The sequence below is a fragment of the Homo sapiens genome, chromosome 8 (assembly GCF_000001405.40).
Source record: "Homo sapiens chromosome 8, GRCh38.p14 Primary Assembly".
NCBI lineage: Eukaryota > Metazoa > Chordata > Mammalia > Primates > Hominidae > Homo > Homo sapiens.
Genome location: NC_000008.11, coordinates 118507635 through 118530265, shown reverse-complemented (window position 1 = coordinate 118530265; position 22631 = coordinate 118507635). Strand labels below are relative to the sequence as shown.

The following is a 22631-nucleotide window of genomic DNA, read 5'->3' as shown; positions in this document are numbered from 1 at the left end:
GGAACAAACCTGTACATGTACCTCTGGAACCTAACATAGAAGTTGGAAAGGAAAAAATAAAGTAGGCAAAGGACATGAACAGACACTTCTCAAAAGAAGACAAACAGCCAACAAACATACGAAAAAATGCTCATCACCACTGATCATCAGAGAAATGCAAATTAAAACCACAATTAGTTACCATGTGACACCCATCAGAATGGCTGTTACTCAGAAGTCAACAACAGATGTTGGGGAGGATGCAGAGAAAAGGGAAGACTTATATGCTGTTGGTGGAAATGTAAATTAGTGCAATCTCTAATGGAAAACAGTATGGAGATTTCTCAAAGAACTAAAAATAGAACTATCATTTGATCCAGCAATCCTACTGCTAGGTATCTACCCAAAGGAAAAGAGATTGTTATATCATAAAGATACCTGCACTCGTATGTTTATTGCAGCACTATTCAGCCTGAACAACACAGTGAGACCCTGTACACACACAGACACACGCATACATACATACATATCATGGAATACTGCTCAGCCATAAAAAAGAATAAAATTATGGCTTTTGCAGCAAGATGAATGGAACTGGAAGCCATAGTCTAAGTGACATAACTGAGAAACAAAGTCAAAACACTGCATGTTCTCACTTATAAATGGGAGCTAAATAATGTGTGTGCATTGACCTAGAGAGTGGAATAATAGACACTGGCAACTCCAAGGGGTAGGAGGGTAGAAGGGGGATGAGGAATGAGAAATTACCCATTGAGTACAATGTACACTATTTGGGTGATGGTTATACCAAAAGCCCAGACTTCACCACTATGCAATATATCCATGTAACAAAACCGCACTTGTATCCCCTAAATGTCTAAAAATAGAAAATAAATGTAAGAGAATGCAGTTTCAAACCTTGTGACAATGAAAGCCCAAAGGAAATGTTTAGGGTGCAAATTATAAGTCATTTCTGGTGCTGGCCAGGATAAAAAGCCCACCAAGTGGATTTCTCCCCTGATTGCGACTAAAAGTTCTGGATAAAATTTTGAAACGCAGCTGAGGCCTCTGAAAAGTAAATGAAACAGATTAAGAGGGAAGCAAAAACTTGAACTCCTGGTATAGTGTAAGTTCCTGGTTTTCTCTTCTTTCAACCTTGGCTGTGACATATGGGCAGCCCTAGTTGCTGAACTGTGTAGTGGTTGTCTGTGGCCACAACTTCATGGAGAAACCCCCAATTTCTTGCCAGAGGACCAGGAAGTGGCACCCTTGCAAGCTGGAAAGTGTAGGGTGTTGAATCTCTTCTTTTTTTCTTCCTCTTGTCTTTTTTCTCTTTCTGCCTTACGGCGGGGGTGGCCCTGCATGACACCATATTGAGGTCACAGAGGCAGTGCAAGCACCTAAAACTTTGAAAGAAAATTGTCTCTGAACAGAAAATTAGGAAAAGGAGACCCCATGGTCTGCAGAGTGACTGGGGCCAGTGGAGGGTGGTAATCTCTGTTATTTCTTTCTTCTGGTCTTCCTGCCCCTGTTGCACAGAAATACAGATAGCAGAATGTCAAAGTCTGAGAGAGACTCACTTTTCTGGGCAGAGGAAATGAGAAGACAGACTCCTGTCCTGATAGCTACATGGTTCTGGGCATTGGCCAAATCTCTTAGATGCCTACACCAAAAAGAATGAAATCTGCTCTATATGAATTCAAAATTGAGTAACCAGAAAAAATATACATGTATCAACACAATTCATTCAGGAAAAAGAAAGTTTGCATAACCTAATTATCATTGAAGATATTAGAACATGATTAAAGGTTTACCATTTAAAAAACATGTGGACCAGATTGTTATACAATAAGTTGTCTACATATCAGGAAGAAATTAATCCCTATGTTACTATTTCAGACTATAAACGAAGACAGCTTAATGTTAATCACAAAACATGATACAAGTATTATAAAGGCCAGGCATGGTGGCTCATGCCTGTAATCCCAGCACTTTGGGAGGCCAAGGCGGGCAGATCACCTGAGGTCAGGAGTTAGAGACCAGCCTGGCCAACGTGGTTAAACCCCATCTCTACTAAAAATAAAAATAAAAAATTAGCTGATTATGGTGGCGAGTGCCTGTAATCCCAGCTACTTGGGAGGCTGAGGCAGGAGAATCACTTGAACCTGGGAGGCAGAGGTTGCAGTGAGCTGAGATCATGCCACTGCATTCCAGCCTGGGCGACAGAGTGAGACTCCGTCTCAGGAAAAAAAATATATATATATATTATAAAGAACAAAAACTGTAGGCCAAAATCACGTGATTAAAAATATCAGCTAATCTAGCATTGTGTCAGTGAATAAGATGCAATAACTAAGTAGGCTTTATTCCAGGAATGGAAAGATATACCAGTCAGTGTCAGGAAAATTATCAATATAATTCATTTTTCTAACTACTTAAAGAATAATGTCAAATAATGTCAAATTATCGTGCTCAAAATCCACTTTCTAAGCTTCAGCAGATATCCCTAATTAAACATCTTATTAACTCAAGATTAAGTAGGAATAAGTGGGGATTTCAAAAATATAATAAAGACTGCTTACCAAAAACAAAAAACAAACCCAGAAACTAATATTGTCTTAAGTGGCAAAACTCTCAGATCATTTCAGCTAAAATCAAGAAATAGGCAAAGATAGCTGCTATCACTATTATTATTCAGCATTATTTTGGAGATTGTAATGTAGTAAAGAAAGAAAGTATAGTTTGTTTAAATAGTAGGAAAAAATACAATTTTATCATCACTGCTGATTATAAAATTGTATGCCTAGAAGACCTGAGACAGGCTGATGAAACAAAGTACTAGAATTAACAAAGGCTTGATCCATGGTAAATATACAAAAATCAGTGGTTTTCTTCTCTGTTAATGAAATGATATAGAAATGGAAATAAGGAAACACATTGCATTCACAGTTGGTGTCTACACTTTACCTCTGTGCTGTGGGAAGCTCCTGTGGGGTACTAAACCCAAGAGAAACATGATGAGGGTTGCATTTTGAAAGAAAGCTTTGGCAGCTCTGAGGAGAGTAGTTTGGAGGGTTGATACTGGAAGCACAGAGGCCAATTATGAGGCTCCTGCAATGATCCAGACAGAGACAATGTGGCCTCAAGCCAGTGACAGGGAGAATGAAGAGAAGGGAAGGATCAGAAATATCAAATGGAGAAAACAGAGGATTCATGATTAACTGATTGGAAAGGAGGGGTTATATGAGTATTCGGCTGGCAGATGATTATATGGTTTGGAGCTGAGAGTGAAGGATGCATTCTGAAAGACATTTGGATGTCTTCAGTGAGTTTGTTTGATATGACTAGTGCAGTTGCTGGACCAGTGTTTATTTCCATAGGAAACTGACTCTCAAATTCCTGATGTGTGGAATGTTTTCCTTTTAGCCCTGCAGATCAGCATACGTCTTCCTTTTTCTGTTCCATGTCTCAGAAGGCTGTGTCTATGGACTGTATGGAGGCTCCTTTCCCCTCTGGCTTCTGACTGCCTTTGACCTTGAGTGAACATTTAAGCCCCTGCCAGACTGTCTCTTCTCAAAGCCATAGGTACTCTGCACTTTCTGTTAACTGTGCCCTCACCTTGTCCCTTTCAGCCTAGGGGTATGAACAGCACTCTTCTGGTGCTCCACTTCACCTTATCCCTGCCAGCACCTTTCTAAATAGTCTTTTCATTAAATTCCTCCTAATCACTCCATTTGATATGCTGTTTCCTGCTTGCTAAACTTGGTCAGTGAATTGACTGCATCAGAATCACCTGGGTGCCTATTAAAACTACAGGTCTCTGGGCTTCATCCCAGAGCTACCAAAGCAGAATTTATAGAGGTGAAACCAAAGACTCTGCAATTGTACAACAGGTGATTCTGATCGGTAGCAAGGTTGGGGGGCTATTCCTGGTTTTCTTGGTGACTCTTTAGAGACCTCTTAATATCATGAGCCAGATGGTTGAGGTTAAGGAGCTCTGCCATTTGTCATTATGTGACCTCCGGCATAATTATTTACCTGTACAAACCTTGAGTTCCATAAATGTAAAGGGAGTTGATAGTTTCTATCTCATGTTGTTGTTCAGCAGCTTAAATGAGGTAATCCATGTAGAACAGCAGGATGCTAATAAGCTTCCAGTAAGTGTTATTTATTATCTATGGGTAGAATTCATTTAATCTTCACACACTCAAATTTTGCCAGCTTTAGGACAAATAAGACTTGGAGTCTGTAATCAGTCTTGTGAAGGACACAGAGAAGTAAAACAATTAACAATAAAATACAGTTAGATTCTTTGGTATTTATAAACTTCTAATTTATGAACTTTCACTGATGTCAACAAAGCTGGGTGACATTACAGATGTGCACCAGCTCTGTCCTCCATCTATGGGGTATGGTTAGCAGATGCATGTACAGTGTTGCTTTAAACATAGAAGCAAATGGATTTCTGAACCTAACTTCATAGAGACATGTTTTCTTATGAGCTGCTTTAGGAGTACAGAAGAGGTTGGGAGGAGCAGGGCAGGTTACAGAGTCATTTGTGAAATGTCAAAGACATTTCAAGCTTGTCTGTCCATTGGACAAGGAGGCAGTGGAAGTGTTTCAATCCCAGGGAATAGCATATGGGGTTCCCTGTATTGTGAAAACATGCAGTGACTGAGAATGGGCAGTTTGGTATGAGGAGAACACAAAGTTAGAAGCACCTGATGCACTTTTGGGCCATTCTTTCCTTCAACTAATATTTGTTGAGCTTCTATGATGGGCCAGACACTGCTCAGGGTGCTGGGGACATGGCCAAGTGCAAAATAGTGTCTGCTCTGATGACACTTGCATTCTATAGGGGTTTGAGTCAATGAAGAAAGATGTAAATGTCTAATGTGAAATGGTGATAATTGCCGTGGAAAAGTCTTATAAAGCAAGGTAAGAGGAAAAACGTGTATGGGGTGGGGTATGGGGAAATGATATAGAGTCCCCAGGGAAGGCCTGGTTAACAAACTAACATTTAATCAGAGACCTGAAGGAAATACAGGAAGTAGCCAAGGTGCTATCCAGAGAGAAATCATCACAACAGAGGAAACACAAAGACCTTGAGGCAGAGCATGCTTGATGTGCTGTAGAAACAGCGAGGAGCCTGTGTGGCTTCAGCAGAAAGAAAATGAGAAGAGTGGCATAGGAGACAAGATCAGAGAACTGGGTGGGGCTGTAGCTTATGCAAAGCCAGGGAGACTATTGTGAGCAGTTTTGCTTTTACTTGTGAGGGAGTAAGGCATCTTTGGGTTTTGATACGATTTGATTTAACATTTACAAAAGATCACTCTGGCTGCTCTGTTGAGAACAGACTGTCAGGGGAAAAGCAGGAAGCAGGGATCCCACTTAGGAAGCTGTTGGAATTATCCACAGGAGAGTGGTGACCCAGTATGGCAGTGTAGGAGGTGGGCAGATACTTGGTATGTTTTGAAGATACAGTAGCATTTTTCAATGATGGATCATGAGGAATAAGAAGCAGTTGACTCAAGGTTTTGGCCTGAGCAATTGGAAGGTCGGTTATTAACTGTCAAAGAACTGCAGGAGGAATAGGGTTGTTGTGTGATAATGGATATCAGGAACTCTCTTTAAGACATTCTTAGTTGGAGATGTTGAGCCAGTGGCTGAGTGGATAAGTCTGAAGTTCAAGGGAGAAGTCCAGGCCGCAGGTATATATTTGGCAGGCATTGGCACTGGCATATGAATGGTATTTAAAGCCTGGAGACTGGGCGAGTTATCCTAGGGGGAGGGAAGAGCAGAGCTGCAGTGACTGAATACTGCAGCATCCAATATTTAGAAATCAGGGAGGTGAGAAAGAAACAGTAAGGAGTCAGAGAAGGAGCAACCAGTGTGGTAGGAGGGAAGGGAGGTGAGTCATGTCCTAGATGCTAAAACAAGAAAGTGTTTTTAGAAGGAGCGATGGTGGAATCAAATGTTCTTGCTTTGTTAATTACGGCGCCTGAGAATTGCCCATAGGATTCAGCAATGTGGAGTCATTGGTGACCATGAAGAGCTCTCTCAGTGGAGTGGTCAAGGGGAAAAAGCCTGTTAGAAGTGGTTCACAAGAGAGTGGGTCTGGTGGATTTGGAGAACAAGAGCAAGAACAACACTTTCCAAGTTTTTTACTCTAAATGGGGTTGGGGTAGAAAAATTGGGTAGGAGCTGGAGGGGTATTTGGGGTGAAGGGTATATTTTTTAACATGGGAGATATAAAAAGATGTTTATATGCTGATGGAATGATCTCATCAAGAGGGAGAAATTGAGGACACGCGGAAAGAGTGAACATGTTGCTGGACAGTTTGACTTAAAGGAGCATCCACAGTGACAAGAGAAAAGGCAGAGTAAGTGGGTTCAGGGACAAGACAGGTGAGTGGTAGAGTTGATGGTGGGAGGTTAGGAAGCCTTTTCAGATGGCTTCTCTGTTTTCAGACATAATGAGTTTCCATTCAGCAGTGAGGATGGAGAGTAGATGCTACAGAAGGGACCATGAGTGATTGGAGTAGGAGCAGGTATTGGAGACGCCTGGAATACTAAGATCCCCTTGACTTGCTGGCTCTGAATTTCAAGGGAGACCAGTTGACAGGGTTGTGGATTATTCTGTGACCTTTTTCAGTTAAGTAGCTGTAGGTTTTGAGTAGAGAGAGCTCAGTTCATGGAAGATTGGGGTTTTGTCAGGTGTAGATGTCTACAAAATGAAAAAGGCATGTGCGAGAGAGGAAAGTATTCCATGTAAGAAGTTTAGCTTTATTCCCAAAGCCCTGGGAGTCACCTCTAATTGTCTATGTGATTTACAGAAATAGGCATGATAGCAGTGAAAAGGGAGAGCACTACACACCGTTATGATAGATTATGGGAGCTGATTCATGATTGCTTCCATTTCAGCCACTGTGACATTGGTGCTTACTTTCAATTTCATGGGCTATTTTAAGTCTGGACCTATCAGTAGACTTGTACCCTTTTGTCCACAAGCAAAGAACAACTTTCATTTCCGCAAGAGGTTGAGGGAGTGCCCCCCACCTCCCTCCTCCCCAAAGTCTTCAATAAACCATGTCAGCAGTCTGAAAGGTTTGTGACTCCCAGAGCTAATTTTCAAACTTTTGTGCATCACAGTGCACACATGTTGTGCCACGCCTTTGGTTCAACTGGGCCAGCTATTTTCAGATATGAAATATATTTTGTGAGTTAGATATATATCTAAAAAGTACATTTTGTAAAGCCCAATAAAATTGCATTTTCAGCTAGAGAAATGTCAAATATCAGAATGACCTCCAAGGACCAAAACAGCCTGGAACATTGTGTATTTTATTAAGTAGAGAGATCTAAACAAAATTCATTGTGTGGATACGTATAAATGTCTTTACACCAAAATAATCTATCTTGCAGTTTCTTTTTGGGATAACCTTCTTATGGCTATTTGTTTATGCCCCAAGGAGCAACAAGATGTCTTGTTTTTTTTGTTTTCATAATTTGTGTAAATAAGAAAAAAGAAATTAAAAACTGCTTGTTCCATTGAGCCATGTTGGGTTTGTTCAGATGCATTTCATACTTGATGATACATTTGTTTCTCAGTGTAACAAATCTGGAAAGACATGCTGACAAGGTTTACAATTAAACTGGATATTAACTTCTTTAATCTGCAATTGTCCTAAATAGATTAAAACTTCACAGTAACTTTGTGGAAACAGTGTCTCTTTCCTTGTGAAATGATTGTTTTCTGTTTTTCTTTGAAAACTCCATTAAAGCTTATGTTTGCTGACCGAGTATGATTATTTAGTACTGAACATTGCATCGGTCTTTCTGTGTGGGCACTCATTCTTAATTCAGTTTGATACATGAGTTTCTGTGGCTGTAAACCTAGCATCAATATGCTTAGGTCTCCCAAAATACTGCCAAAAACACCTTTTTCCCCTGCCCACAAAGCCATTCGGAGTGGCCTCTACAACTTGAACTAAAATCAAGTTGGATGATGCTCTTGGATCCTTCTAGCTCATCCTATCTCTTGCTCTCGTTTGATTTCTCTCTTTTTATCGTGTGTGTGTGTGTGTATGTGTGTGTGTGTGTGTGTATGTGTGTGTGTGTGTGTGTGTTTCACTGAATCAGTAGTTGTTAACTGTCACCACTGTGCTGGACACTATAAGCAATGCAAAGTTGTGGAAAGATACAGTTCTCACCCCCAAGAGCTCACAATTGTGGGAATGGTGGACAAATTGTGTTATGTTGTATTACCATATAGGATAGGGACCTTGTTAACCAGTACTTCCTTGGCACACTGTATTTTCTGTTGACAAATATATATACTTACTGACTGTAAGATTCCTTGTTGAGTAATCCTATATGGGTTTGAAAAACTAAGCAAAAATATCTCCCTACACAATGAAGGTGGAAAGCTTCTCTTTTGCATTTGCTCTGTAGCTTCTGAGTCTGGTTGAATGCCAACAAAATGAGGTGGCTGCAGTAATATGACATTTAATTACCTGGGAAGAAAGAAGCTTAATAAATCATAGGCCTTATCACTTAGCATAATTATTACCATTAAGGAAAATAAGGACCTGGATAGAGATCGTCAGCACAGCCCAGTCTTGGAAGAAGCCCGAATGTGTGTATTAAGCATAGAACGCGCTGAAGGTCACGCATCAGTCACTTCAGCCATACATGTGCATATCTGCGAGTATAACACTATCAACAATGACATTGTCAAATATGCAGGCAGCTGGAGGATAAATATGGAAGTAGTGTGAAAGGTAAAAGCGAGAATGGAAGAATAAATGACAGTGAGCACTTATCTCTCAATAAGAGAAATGATTTCAAATGTACCCTCCTTCAGGCCAGCTCTGACAGGTCTCTAATACAAAATCCTACATATAACACAGCCAGCATCTGAGAGTGAGAGCCCCTGTGCTCAGCCTCCTCTGCTAGCAAAGGGATGAAGGAAATAGACATGGCAGCCAGTGTTAAAAGAGCTTAGCTTAAAGGGAGGATCAAGGGAAATGTGACAGACAGTGAGTGCTGGGTAGAGATAACAGCTGGATGATGGATGTTTAGAAATGTGTGAAGAATTGGTCAATGCAACAAATAGAACGGAGAGAGGGAAAAACACTACAATTTTTAGATCCGCATGCACAAGGATGCTAGTTTAGACTAAAGAAGAAACAGACAGGCATTCTCACTGACATGGACTAGATGGCATGAAGGAAGAGAAATGTATACGTATGCATTAATATACATTTTAATTGTAAATCGACACAGAGTCCAACAAATCTTTAGTGCTTGAGCAAATAAGATTGACAAGACTGATGGCAAATCTGTGCTACATAATAGGTTTACCCTTGTCCTAATTATTTTTTATGGATCACCACCCAGAATACATATAAAAAAGAATGGCTTTAACCTTTCTCTCAGGCTGATTGGAGTTTTACTATCTATCTTTTTACTCTTCTCCTTTCTAAATCAATGAAAAAAAGTTTGTATAGGAAACAGTAAATTGAGCCACTCTGACCTTTGATATTTGGATAAAGCAAAAATGTAAGTGATTGTCTGTAGACATCTTATTGATGAGTCTCCCAGAAGAGAAACATAAGCCACCTGATTTTCTGATTACTTTTCCTGGGCATCTAGTCCTTTATCTCTTAATATTCTGCCATTGAGAGCCTGTATCTTCTCAATTGTGTTATGTTTTCAGAAACAGTTAATTCATGTACATTCCTTGGGTGAAATGTATCAGCATCTATATTCCACTGAGCATTTATATTGTAAAATTATCTTTTTTACCCGCTTTATCCTCATCCTAATAATGCGGAGAAAAATAGACTTCTGAGAAAGTGATTTTTCCCCTGACAGAAGTAATGGCTATGTTTTCAAGTATCTCACACCCGTACAGTATGATCTCTTACCATGCCTGCCAGTTCAGACCTTCCCAATGTTAGAATGTTCAGGTAGGCTTCTAAATGATTTAAATTGACTGTATTTTCTGAAAAGTCAGGAATTTGAAGATGGAAAGATATTTTTATGTGTGTTTTTTTCTTCTTTACTAAAAGCAGGTACTGTACTTCAGAGTATGGTTTTATGAGATAATTAAATCATTATATTCTAATAATGTATTTTAGAGAATAAACCAAGCAAGTTATAGTAGGAATGAACTCACCCTCCCCTTCCTCAGTTCCCCTCTCAGCTCTGTGATGCCTTCACTGTAGCATTGTCTAGTGTGGGACCACGAAAAGCTCTTTCATGTTGCTGACAATTATCTGCAATTATCAGTAATCACAGAAGAGGCAATTATAACTTATGGAAGCACCAACGTAATTATTACTTTTTTTTCAATGCTCTGAGCTTAAAGGTACTCTTATAGCTTGATCATAATGTTGCTGTGGCTTTATTAGTCAAATTATCTAGAATACACAGACTAGATGTTAAGTCATTTTATTTAGTTGTGACCAGTAATAGCAAGTTCTAATTTTAAAAGTTTACTGCTTTAGGCAATTTGTGGTTCTCCTTTTTAAAAAATGGCAGCATGTTCTTGAAGGCCATACCACAAAGCAGATCATCTTTAGGCAGATCTCTGTTATTGTAAGGGCTGTATACATAGTCATGCATCAGCATCCCCCAACTCAAAGATACGATCATCCAATATTGTATGTCACTTGCAAGCAAAGGTACAGCCATTTAACCTCAATAAGTCATCAAAAAGAGTAACATTATGCTCTATGTACTTTAGAATGGATGTAGATATATTGTACTACATTCATTAGAAAAATAGCCCTAGAAGACTTTAATTTTCTACTAGAGAGAAAAAATATAAGATTGTCAGCCAGACCTGCATTGAAATTCTGGTATAACTTAGGCTCACTCTTAAGCTTTTATTATTTAGGGTCTTCCTTGTTAACAATCAATATAATTTAAGATGTCCAGTGCCTGACAAAATGCCTGGAATATAGAAGGTGCTCAGTAAATGGTAGCTCACCTTATGTGTTGAATGTAGCTGGAAGAGATCCCCCTAGGTGGGAGGGCAGAAATTTAACTTAGGCATTTGTAGAGAACCACAGACCTCCCAAAGCTCCAGAAGGGTGTTGAACACTGAGGGTGCAATTGAGAAAGCAAGCCAGTGCTACCTCTCAGTTGAGTTTCTCTCATTCCCACAAGGCTTGCTTGTCAGTATAAATCAGGCTGCTCCTCAGTCCCCAATAACTGTTGACTTTTTTTCCCTCCTGCTGCTGATACTTAAGTGCATTTCCATGACTCCTGCCTCTTAAATCTAGCCCTATCATGCAAAGCTACCATCTTAAGCCCTTGGTTTCCACATTCTCTTTTAGGAGCTCATACTTTTCTTCTTTTCACAAGTATTTATTGAATGCATGCTGTGTACTCTTCCCTGGTGCCTGACGCTGGGGAAATTGAGATAAAGAAGACACAGCTGTGCATTCCAGGAACATGCATCTTAGTTTGGATATCTCAGAAAGACCTGGTGGTACTTAATCATGCTTGAAACAAACTTCCTATGCTTTCTTCAGGAGGTCAGAGGTGCTCAGCATGATGGTTGTGTAGTAGGGTGTGAAAAGCTTATTCCGAGGTGTGTATTATGCAGTCAGGGCTGAGAAGGGTGACTGGGGCTCGTATGTTGCTAGGTAATTCCCCTTTACTCCCAGTTTAACACAATAAACATTTGTTGATAGCATAGAAAGTATTAAGCAGGCACTGTGCTAAATTCTTGAAACACAGAGCTGAATAACAATCTCTGTAATTTTATAACTTTTTGGCATTGGGGTACAGGGAAATACTGGAAGAAGAAATGAGATAAAAGAGGTTATTATTCAGTTTATCAAAATACAAATATTGGCCCCATAACTAACAGGATGTAGATTTAATGTGAAGGGATATCGCCTTTGTTACTTCCTATCACAGGTTCTTGCTTTGCAGATAATGCTTTTTCTGTCTTACCTATCAAAAGAGCCCTCTCTTGGCTTATCTGTCTGTCATCCTCCCACTTGTTAAGTAACATGGGACCTCAATCATATAGGAAACCCATTCTGTGTATTTTGTTGCAGTCAAGTGCCCCCCATCTACAGTGGTAGGCATATGACTTATGCCTGGTTTTTCAAAGAATGCTATCCCTTTGGCCACAGTGATTACTTTTGAGGTAGACACAAGGCACAAGCTGGGCAAATTAGAAATCTTTATAGGACTTTTTGTCAAAACTATTGAAAGATAATTACCCCTTTTTCCTGGGGTTTCTAAGTCAGTAAAGAGTGAGTCTGAGCCTGCTGTTGGATGTCTTATTTGCCTGTTGGAGAGAAAGAGAAAAATAGAACCTGAATGACATTGTTCAAGGTCCCAGATTCAATCGTGACTGAAGACAACATTTCCAGTTACATGTGTGAATCAGCACCCTCCTCCCCCAGCCCATTCTGGAAGTAGTAGGTATGAGTTGATTTAGAGGTGGCTGAGTTGCAACCAAAATTATCTCTTACAAACTCACCCATTCAAAAGCAAAGACATTACCAAAAAATGCTGGTCGATCTTGTAATAATCTCCACCTCTCCAGGTCATATTGCCTTTGGAAGCCACCTAATGTGTGTGTGATTGCTTCTGATCTTTTATATGACAGTTCACATCCTCCTGATGGGCAGCACCAGCAGACTGCATGGGCCGTTGTGGTTTTTCTAATAATCCCATGTTCTGTCAGCACTTGGATGATACATTATCTGGGATTCTGACAGGTTGCCCTCATGGATGTGATATACTTCCCTTCCATTGTTGTTTTAAGCATTTCTCAGTCACTTATGTACCAAGAACTATTGTTAGAACTATTGTATCGTAACCTTTAAACCAATCTCCAGCTGTATGGGAGATGGTACTTTTACTATCCCCATTTTATAAATGAGGAAATTGAGGTATAGAGCAGTAAAATAATTTTCCCGGTTAAGCAGGTAAGTGCTACAACTGTGATTGACCTTTGAACCTGACCCCAGAGCACTGATGTAATCTGTCTGTACCCAAAATGGTTTCAGTTTATCTTTATTCAGGCGCAGTTCAAAGAATCTTATCCTTTGCTTTTTAACTACTCTATTCTCCCTGGTGACTAGGATATCTTATACCCCCTTTGAGCTAGGAACTCAGAAATGAAAATGATTTCTTCCCCACTGATTATTTGTAGGGAGGGCTACTTACCCCTAGAAGGAGAATAAGAGTCAGCCAAAAAAGGAAGATTCTCCATTTTCTTAGAACTGTTTTGGAATATGGAACTTGTAGAAATAGCACCTCTGCACAAATCCTGTTAGAAAATCAATAGATTTGTCTGAAATAGAAAACTATCAGCTGGGCACGGTGGCTCACGCCTGTAATCCCAGCACTTTGGGAGGCCGAGGCGGGTGGATTGCCTAAGCTCAGGAGTTCGAGACCAGCCTGGGCAACACAGTGAAACCCCATCTCTACTAAAATACAGAAGATTAGTCAGGTATAGTGGTGTGGGCCTGTAGTCCCAGGTACTCGGGAGGCTGAGGCAGGAGAATTGCTTAAACCCAGGAGGCGGAGGTTGCAGTGAGCCAAGATCGCACCACTGCACTCCATCCAGCCTGGGTGACAGAGTGAGACTCCATCTCCAAAAAAAAAAAAAGAAAGAAAGAAAAATATAAACAACAGCAAAGAGTCACAAGTTAGATTTAAGGAAAAGTGGAGTCAACAGGAAAAGATTATTGGAAACAACATTTACAGTCTAAGAAAGGAGAAATAGAAACTTCTGGGCCCTTTTAAGGACTAGTCTGCCCTGCTGTACCCAGGATAGCAATCTATATTCCCAGAGCTCCTAGGTTTCCCTGCACTGAGCAACTATATCCATTTCATATGAACATTGTAAACATTATACAACTTCTGTCCAAAAAAGTTATACAAAATTGAGATATCATCACAATAGCCAATGCCAGCACAAATGAAACAACTAGCAAACTATTGTAAAGCAGTTTTTAGATAGTACATAATACTAGGATATAAACTGTATAAGTAATACTTGCAAAGCAGAGGGCAATAACTAATAAGTGTGTGATACAGGTAAGGAAAGGTTGAAGAAGTCAGTGGCAAAATAAAAGATCCAACAGGAGGTGGCTCTGGAGATGTGAGTTGCTATGCATTTGAGATTTTCTGCAGGGCTCCCTAGAGAGTTCTCTCAGCAAATTCACAGGCCCCAGTGAGAATGGGGAATTTGGGAAGGCCACTGGAAATCACAGTTCTCATATATATCTCCATGGCTTACCCTTTAGGAGAGCAGGAATTTGGAACTGCTAGTCCTCTCTTAGGAGAGTGCCCAGAGAAGAATTCATCATTTAAATAGCTTCAGGGGTCAGCAGATCATGGGATTGAAGGCTGCAGAGAGGGCTGGGGACTGGAGTCTACCAGAGTCCAAGTCTTGAGTGAAGGCATTCAAAGTACCATGCCAGTTAAACACAGCCTCCTGTGGGCAGAATTTGGGATTTGCCAGTTGGTGATGCCGCGCAAGAGTGAGTAAAAAGGGATGGAGGTTTCATATACCAGAATATGAAGGATGGGAAAGGTTGGGATTGAAAAAGGAATTTGTCAGTGAGGAAGGTACCTGGGGTAGGGGTGGCCTAAGATAAACTGTGGTCCCTCAACAGACCCCTCCAGTCACCTTTAGTGAGGACAGCTTGAGTATGTCAGGCTCTGGGGCTTATGAGTTGTCCCTGTACTATCTTGCTACTCTGATCTGATGTAAGCAACTGTATTAGTCCATTCTCGCATTGCTATAAATAAATACCTGAAACTGGGTAATTTATAAGAAAAGAGGTTTAATTGGCTCACAGTTCCACAGGCTGTATGGGAAGCACGGCTGAGGAAGCTTCAGGAAACTTTCAATCGTGGCAGAAGGTGAAGTGGAAGCAGACGCATCTTACGTGGCTGGAGCCAGGAGGAAGAAAGAGAAGGAGGAGGTGCTAAAAACTTTTAAACATTGGGAGGCTGAGGCGGGCGGATCACGAGATCAGGAGATCGAGACCATCCTGGCTAACACAGTGAAACCCCATCTCTACTGAAAATACAAAAAAAAAAAAAAAAAAAAATTAGCTGGGCGTGGTGGCGGGCGCCTATAGTCCCAGCTACTCGGGAGGCTGAGGCAGGAGAATGGCGTGAACCCAGGAGGTGGAGCTTGCAGTGAGCCGAGATCACGCCACCGCACTGCAGCCTGGGCGACAGAGTGAGACTCCGTCTCAAAACAAACAAACAAACAAACAAACAAACAAACAAAACTTTTAAACAGCCAGATCATGAGAATTCACTATCAGGAGAACAGCAAAGGGGAAGTTTGTTCGCATGATCCAATCACCTCCCACCAGGACCTTCCTCCAACATTGGGAATTACAATTTGACATGAGATTTGGACAGGGACACAAATCCAAAGCATGTCAGCAACTAACCCGTCCTAAGTACAGATGTCCTTTCCTCAGTGCACAAAAAGACTATTTTACTAACGCTGTTTTCCCAATGTTAAGTTTTTTCTCTCACAAGCTGGTCTTAATCTTTGTTATTAACCACCACTTGTCCATGCTACAATTTAGTTCAAGGTAGGCATCTAATATTACCTATAATTGTCTCTATTTAATTATTTTATGTTGACTAAATTAGCATTTCATGTGCGAAGAGCATAATGATTCACAGATGGTATACAACCTAAATAATTGGTGAACCACTTTAAATACCTTATAGATAAAAAGAGAATGAATAATCTTTGAGAATTTGTTAGCCTTCCTCATCCTGTGGCAGTGAAGAGAGTAATGGAATGAGAATGTCTGACTTACAGATAGTGCTCAATAAATATTTGCTGTGAATGAATGGAAGTGGGAATATGAAAGGCCTGTGGGACCCCTTTTGGCCTTCTCCAGAGCCTGCTGTAAAGCTGATCTGAAAATGGGAATAATAACAGCTTTCTTCCAAAACTGCTTTAAGGAGGAATTGAGAGGAAGCATTTTGTAAACATATGGCACTATATAAATGTTCAAAATTTCTATTGTGGTCCCTCAGCCCATCTTAGGGAACTTCATGGTTAACCCATTAGAGAGTTGTATGGAAACTTAAAAAATCATTTTAAATGCCTTGTGATGGGGAGGGTTGCTGATCTCATGTACTTTATACAGCAGAGGCTACAAATTTGAAGTTTGGCAATAGGTGTGTTTGCCTGACCTCCCCAATGCTTTAAAAGTTTTATGCAAATTATATACCAGTATTTAATAATAAAAATTTCGCTTAAAATATGCATTTTAGCTGTTTGTTAGAAAATCAGGTTTTCTAGAAACTTTTGACCTGAATTCCCACAAAGAAATAATAGGCTGGGATGGAATAGTGATGGCTCCCTGTAGAACACTATTCCTTTTTGGTTAGCAATGATTCCCACTACTGCCCATTTTCCCCCAAAACTGAGGGCAAGTGTCATTTGCTGTTGATAGTCAAGCTTTGTTTTCCCTCCTTTTGGCCTCTCTGCTCATTTGCATTACCTGTCTAGTCCCCAGTAGACAATAGAGTTTGTGAACTCTGCCAAGGGGCTCTGTCACCACTACATCCACCCCTCCCCATATTCTCCCAACCCCAACTGTCTACTTGATTGAAATACTTGCCTTAGGGGCATTTTCTTATTTTCTCTCTGGAACAACCAAATTATTTCCTTTTTAAAGCAGAAAGAGTCAGCTTTAAAGACTGCTCTGTGTTTGATTTGGTCTTTAATGTGTATAGGAAGATGTACATATTTTATGGTTTGTTGATTGTTGGTTTTTCTTTGGGAGGGTAGGTGGCTGTTTTGGGAAGCATCCTCTTTAACAGGGTAGTTATAAGTTTACAGCTTAAGATGTACTCTGTTGGCCTTTGCAATCCCCACAGCTTTTCCTGCATCCTCTAACTTTTAATATGTCTTGATCAATGTATTCAAACACCATTTCCTTTAAAATGTTTTCAACTCTATTCATCTTTATTGGGTTTTTAAAATATTTTATTTCTAAAATTTCTCAAATCTCTTTTAGGCTAGTTGCATTTGGGATGGGCTGGTGATTTAATTTGTATGGGTTCTGGTTTTGCAAGAGAAAAATCAAATGACTAGTGCATGTCTGAAATGCATCAACTATGTAGTATTTATTTTGCCAAGACAATTTACTAGGCTGTGAGAAAAATAAAGATGATCCCTGCCCTCAAATTGTTCCCAGTTTAGTGAAAAAGATACACATATGACATAACTGTAAGAAAAAAAAAAAATATAAGTATTCAGTAATACTAAAAGTAACTTACCTTTGTATGGCTCTCAGTAGTGCACAAAACATCTTTCACATGCGTTACTTGATATAAGCAAGAGCTTTGCAGAAGAGGAATCATTAAAACTGACTGGAAGATTGGGAAAAGCGTCACAGAGAAAATGATACTTAAACTTGGCTTTGAAGAATAGTCTATAGCCTGAACAATGGAGAAAAGGGTTAGAGGTCACATTTCAAGCCAAAAGAATGACATGAGCAATGTCAAAGAGGCACAAAAGGGCAAGGTATGTTTGAGTGTGGCTAGTAGATTAGTATGAATTGATCTTAGAAATAAGGGGACAGTGTTTTAGTAATATTATTGCAAAAATGAGTGGGACTAAGTAATGGACAACTCAGAATGCCATGCTAAGGATTTAAGGACTAAAATGGAAAACTCAGTATTTCTAACAACAGTCTGATTTTATTTTTCTTTGTTGTGGTTTCATAAAAATATCATTTATTGAGTATCTGGCATGACCTTATTTTAATGCAAGCTGATATATGTTCAAATTATTCAGAATTTGTTCAACTGTAAGTGTCATAAAAGTAACTCAGTCTATTTTATGCAATCATAAAATAGATATTTATTGGCTCACAAAACTGAAAAAGCCAACAGAGCTCAGCCATGGCTGAATTCAGGACTCACTCCATGTCATGAATCCCATCTCCTAGGTCTGTTTTGTCTTTCTTTGCTTTACTTTCTGGTGCTATCTCTGCATATGGCAGTCCCCAGCCACAAATTCAATAGAAAAATGTCTCTTTCCTGGAAGTTCCGCCAAAGTCTTCAAAGTTAAGGAAACATTCTGATTGTATTCACTGGCCCAATTAATATTCATGCCTGGGAGTATTAGATAGGTGCTCCAAAAACAATATAGATCCTATTTCCAAATGAGGAGGAGTGGATGCAGAGTTGAAAGGTGAAAAAAAAAATGTTCTTTATAGTGCTCCAGTTTCCTTTCTTAGAAAAGTCTAACTACTGATTGATTGATTGATTTACTTATTTAGGGTTGGAGGTGCAGATTTCATTGACAATCAGAAAGGGCAAGTTTGATTTGTCTTTTCATCCTAAAAGTAGCAACAAGTGTTTGCAAAAGGCTGGCTCTTTGTTCAGTGCAGATTTGTATATGTCCCTCTTGTGTTTTACAAAATAAATGGGCACCTTTAATGTCATCACAATGGGAAATGATTTAACTACAATCACATTGTGTCTGTTGAATTTTCCACTAAATGATCTATATGCCATTGTGAAGCCCCATGCAAACCTTTATTCCACTGTAGATTTTGTGTTGCGTAGTGTTGAGAAATATTTTTAATGGTCTTTTACCCCCTTTACTTTAAAGCTTGCTATAGAAGCTTGAATGTAGGAAAATTCCTCTTCAGCCAGAACTGTAGAGTTGCTAGGGCCCCACCATTGTAACTGACAGCAGAGGTTCAGCAAAGTTAGTTCTGAGGTTTGCATTATCAAATCTACCCAGATTTTCCAATCTACAAAACATCTATTCACGTACATTTAAAAAAAAAACAAAAACAAAAACAAGAGGTTTCCAAATTTGTCAATTGACCTGCTAGACAAGGCATAATATGTTGCCTAAAATAATACCATAAACCGTGAAAAAAGTGGATTTGTCAAATCACCTACAGTTTTTAATGGTTTTCGCCTTCATATGAACATTTCAATTTCAATTGCTGTGAGTTCCTCTAAATAAGAATCGATCTTTCTTCCCCTTCCCATTCCCATCATTCTGAGTGATTTCCAGGGAAGTAACCAAATTAAATTAATCTCTGCAGCTTTAAGGTTGTATTTATTTATTTATTCTTTTCTAATTTGGTGAATATATTGCACTGACATCCCTTTTTTAAACAGTTCAATTTTCTTCTACCGTTCTAGATGAGTTGTCAATGATAAGCAAAGTAATATTTGAATTCCAGGAGGTTCTTTGTGAAGAAAAATATAATATCCCAGACTGTCACAGTCAGTTTACTTTTTAAATGACAACAGTGTTGTTATACCTTTTAACTTGAATTTCCTGAGAAACTTCAAGCTGTAATAGCATTAAACTTAGTAGTAAAGTAACCACATTCACAATTTCTTTGCTTGGAGGAAATGCATTCTCGCTACTTAATATTGTGAGTCATTAGCACTTTTAGCTGTTGAGCCAAGCTCTTGATAGGAACTTTGTGAATAATTGTTTAACTAATAAATAGTACTCTTTTGCCCCAGCATTTTGAGGGGGTAGAGAGGTACTGGGCATTGGGTTCCTAGTAGAGCCAGGCTGTAATACCTAAATCTGACCAACAGGTGCCACTCTCCAACAGATGATGCCCCCTTTGCTCACTGACTGTGACCATGCCAAGTTTACACTGCATAACCCTGGGGGAGGGTGTTGCCTTCACTTGATTGATGATATGAGTGGCTCCTCCTGGAATTGTGTTGCCAAACCCTTTTCTCAAAGTTCAAGATTGAGTTATGTAAATGAAATTATAAACCTACTTCATGGACAGTAATGGGACATTACAAAAGAAACCTCTATAAAACATGTGTAGTTCCCTTTCTGTTTTTAAAAATTATTGTGGTCCCGAACAATTAAATGAAATACCTCCTTGTTTCTCAGAGTGTGATCTGTATCAGAATCACTTGAGATGCTTGTCAGTGAAGGTTCCTGGACCCTACACTGAGCCTACTTAGGCAGATTGTGTGTGTATTTGTGTGTGTGTGTGTGCATGCATGTGTGCGTGTTTGTGTGTATGTGTGTGTGTGTGGTGGGGGGGTTGATCACCAAGCTTCTCAGAGATTTTTTTGTAATGTAAATTTGAGAACAACTGTTTTAAAAGATTACTGATGATTCTAAAGTATTAGCCTAGCACACATTTGGAAAAGTGGCTTTTCCATTAAAGTGAGGGGGTACAAAAAGGAAAGAGAGTGTATGTGAGTCTGAACTACTCTAGTGTGCACAGATAACTTTCACCCTCAATATTATCATCTTTAAATATCAAAAGTGTGCACAGATAACTCTCACCCTCAATATTGTATTTAAATAGCAATAGCAATATTCTTTACTATTATTAAAATCTGTTGTACGTTAACAATTACAATGTTATGCTTTAGAGTACAATCATGCTTTATTACACAGACATCACCCTTCCATCAACATTTATAATCTAAGACAATAGTCAGTGTTGGATATTTAGGACACATGTGAAGGACAAAAATCAAATAAACACTTAAATTATGTGTAAATGTTGAGACAACTTAAAGCTCTTAATGATGTAAAATTTTCATTGAAAAATAATAAACTAATCATAATCTAGACTCCACCATACAAAAGGAATGAAGCAAGGGGTATTATGTGTGTGATGCTACATTTTGAGTTTTAGGGAAGTAGTGTCCAGGATTTTAGCAAATCATATACATCTACACTTCAGAAGTAGAACCATTTCAGAAACAGAACATGTGTGGATGTGTTCATTCCTGCCCACAGAGTCAAAGCCTGTTTCATGAAGACACATATAATTTCTGTTTCTCGGGGAAGTGGTTTATGAAACCCTCAAGCTATTTTGTTGCATTTCTGCTGCCAGCCAGTCAGGCCCGCCCCAGTTTCCTGGCCCACCTGTACCTTGTCTGGCCTGTGAGTTTAATCAACTTAGATGTGGCAACTCTTTTGGCTGTGAGTCAGACCTTGAAAGTTAAATAATATTAAATTTTGGAGAGTTGGCCACATCCATTCACATAAGAACTTTTAAGGCTTTAATGTAATTATTTGGCACTTATGGGATATAAACACACACACAGACACACATTTGACTAGACACATGATCTTTTTGCCTCTTCAGAATGATCAACTCAGGATCACCCAAGAAAGTGATACATTTCTTTTACCAGGCAATTACTGAACCTTAAGGGAAGAAGGCTAATATTCTTGGTATATTTTTTATCATCCTCTTGCCTCCCAAGTGGCAAATGACTGTCAATATTTAGACTAGAGTGTTATTAAGAATATGAAATGTTATTATAGAGCAAATTTTGTGAGAAATTTGACCCATCACTTCAGTATGATACCAGACTCTCAATCATGTTGTAACATTAAAGTTCCATTTTTAGTGTTGCCTAGGCCTGGAATTATGTTCAAAGTTAAAGGATAAAATCAGTGTTGAGAAAACGCATTCATCCTTTTCATATCTCCACCTCTGTCATACTCCGCCTACCCTTTTGACTGCTCATGGGAATTCGGTTGAAAATAAAAGACAGTGCATGTTGATTCAGCTCTTGCTGTGTGCCCAAAACTCCCCATATTTGATGATAATGGAAATAAGCACCCCCTCTGCTGCTCAAACTAAGAAAAATTAATACAAAGAAGCAGCAGTTATGCAAGTGACATGGAGGTGAGACTGTAAAATGACACGAAGGTGTCTTTATCTTCTCAGACATGGAGAAATCATGGGTAATTTGAAATGACATTAACAACTTAAGGCTTATTATTAGTTGTGAAAATGGTCACTTCCTAGATGACCAAAAAAGAAACAAAACAAAAAAGAAACTTGTGAGAAAAGGCTGCTTTAGTCTTTTGACTCATTACTTTTTTTTCTCTATTTTTTTCTTATACTTTAAGCTCTAGGGTACATGTGCACAACGTGCAGTTGTGTTACATATGTATACATGTGCCATGTTGATGTGCTGCACCCATTAACTTGTCATTTACATTAGGTATATCTCCTAATGCTATCCCTCCCCCGACCCCACGACAGGCCCTGGTGTATGATGTTCCCCATCCTGTGTCCAAGTGTTCTCATCGTTCAATTCCCACCTTTAAGAAAAGGGAGCCCGGCACAGTGGCTCACACCTGTAGTCCCAGCTACTCATGAGGCTGAGGCAGGAAGATCCCTTGATCCCAGGAGTTCAAGGCTGCAGTGAGCTATGATGGCACCACTGCACCCCAGCATGGTTGACAGAGCGAGACCCTGTCTCAAAAAAAAAAAAAAAAAAAAGGAGATTATACTATCTAGGGGTTTGCTCAACCAAACAGTCATCACCTTCCCTTTGAAACAAATAATATCTGGCCTTAAAGAGTACCACCCTCCCTCAGGGTACTGGGGATTGGTTCCAGGAGCCCTGTGTGTACTAAAACCCACACATACTCAAGCCTTGCAGTCATCTGTGCAGAACCCATGTATAGAAAAAGTCGGCATCACTCTTCATAGCCACAGGTTTCACATCCCTCAAATACTGTGTTTTTCACCTGTGTTGGGTTGAAAACAAATCTGCATATAAATGGAGCAGTTTGACTCAAGGATCAGTTGTACTACTTTCATAAGTTTAGGTTGTTTTTCACTTGTTTTGGGGTC

At 39.5% G+C, this 22631-nt stretch overlaps 1 protein-coding gene across 12 annotated transcripts in view, besides 1 other annotated feature; it reads left to right on the top strand.

Moving 5' to 3' along the window:
- The window catches only part of SAMD12 (sterile alpha motif domain containing 12), a 490139-nt gene that overhangs the window by 91698 nt on the left and 375810 nt on the right, over positions 1–22631 (top strand). The gene's annotated exons all lie outside the window — the stretch shown is intronic.
- Positions 20796–20845: an enhancer, noted in NCBI's record as "active region_27837". NCBI's record gives its function as "activates an Ori minimal core promoter by ATAC-STARR-seq in GM12878 lymphoblastoid cells {active_cell/tissue: GM12878}" and the evidence as "EXISTENCE:reporter gene assay evidence [ECO:0000049][PMID:35858748]".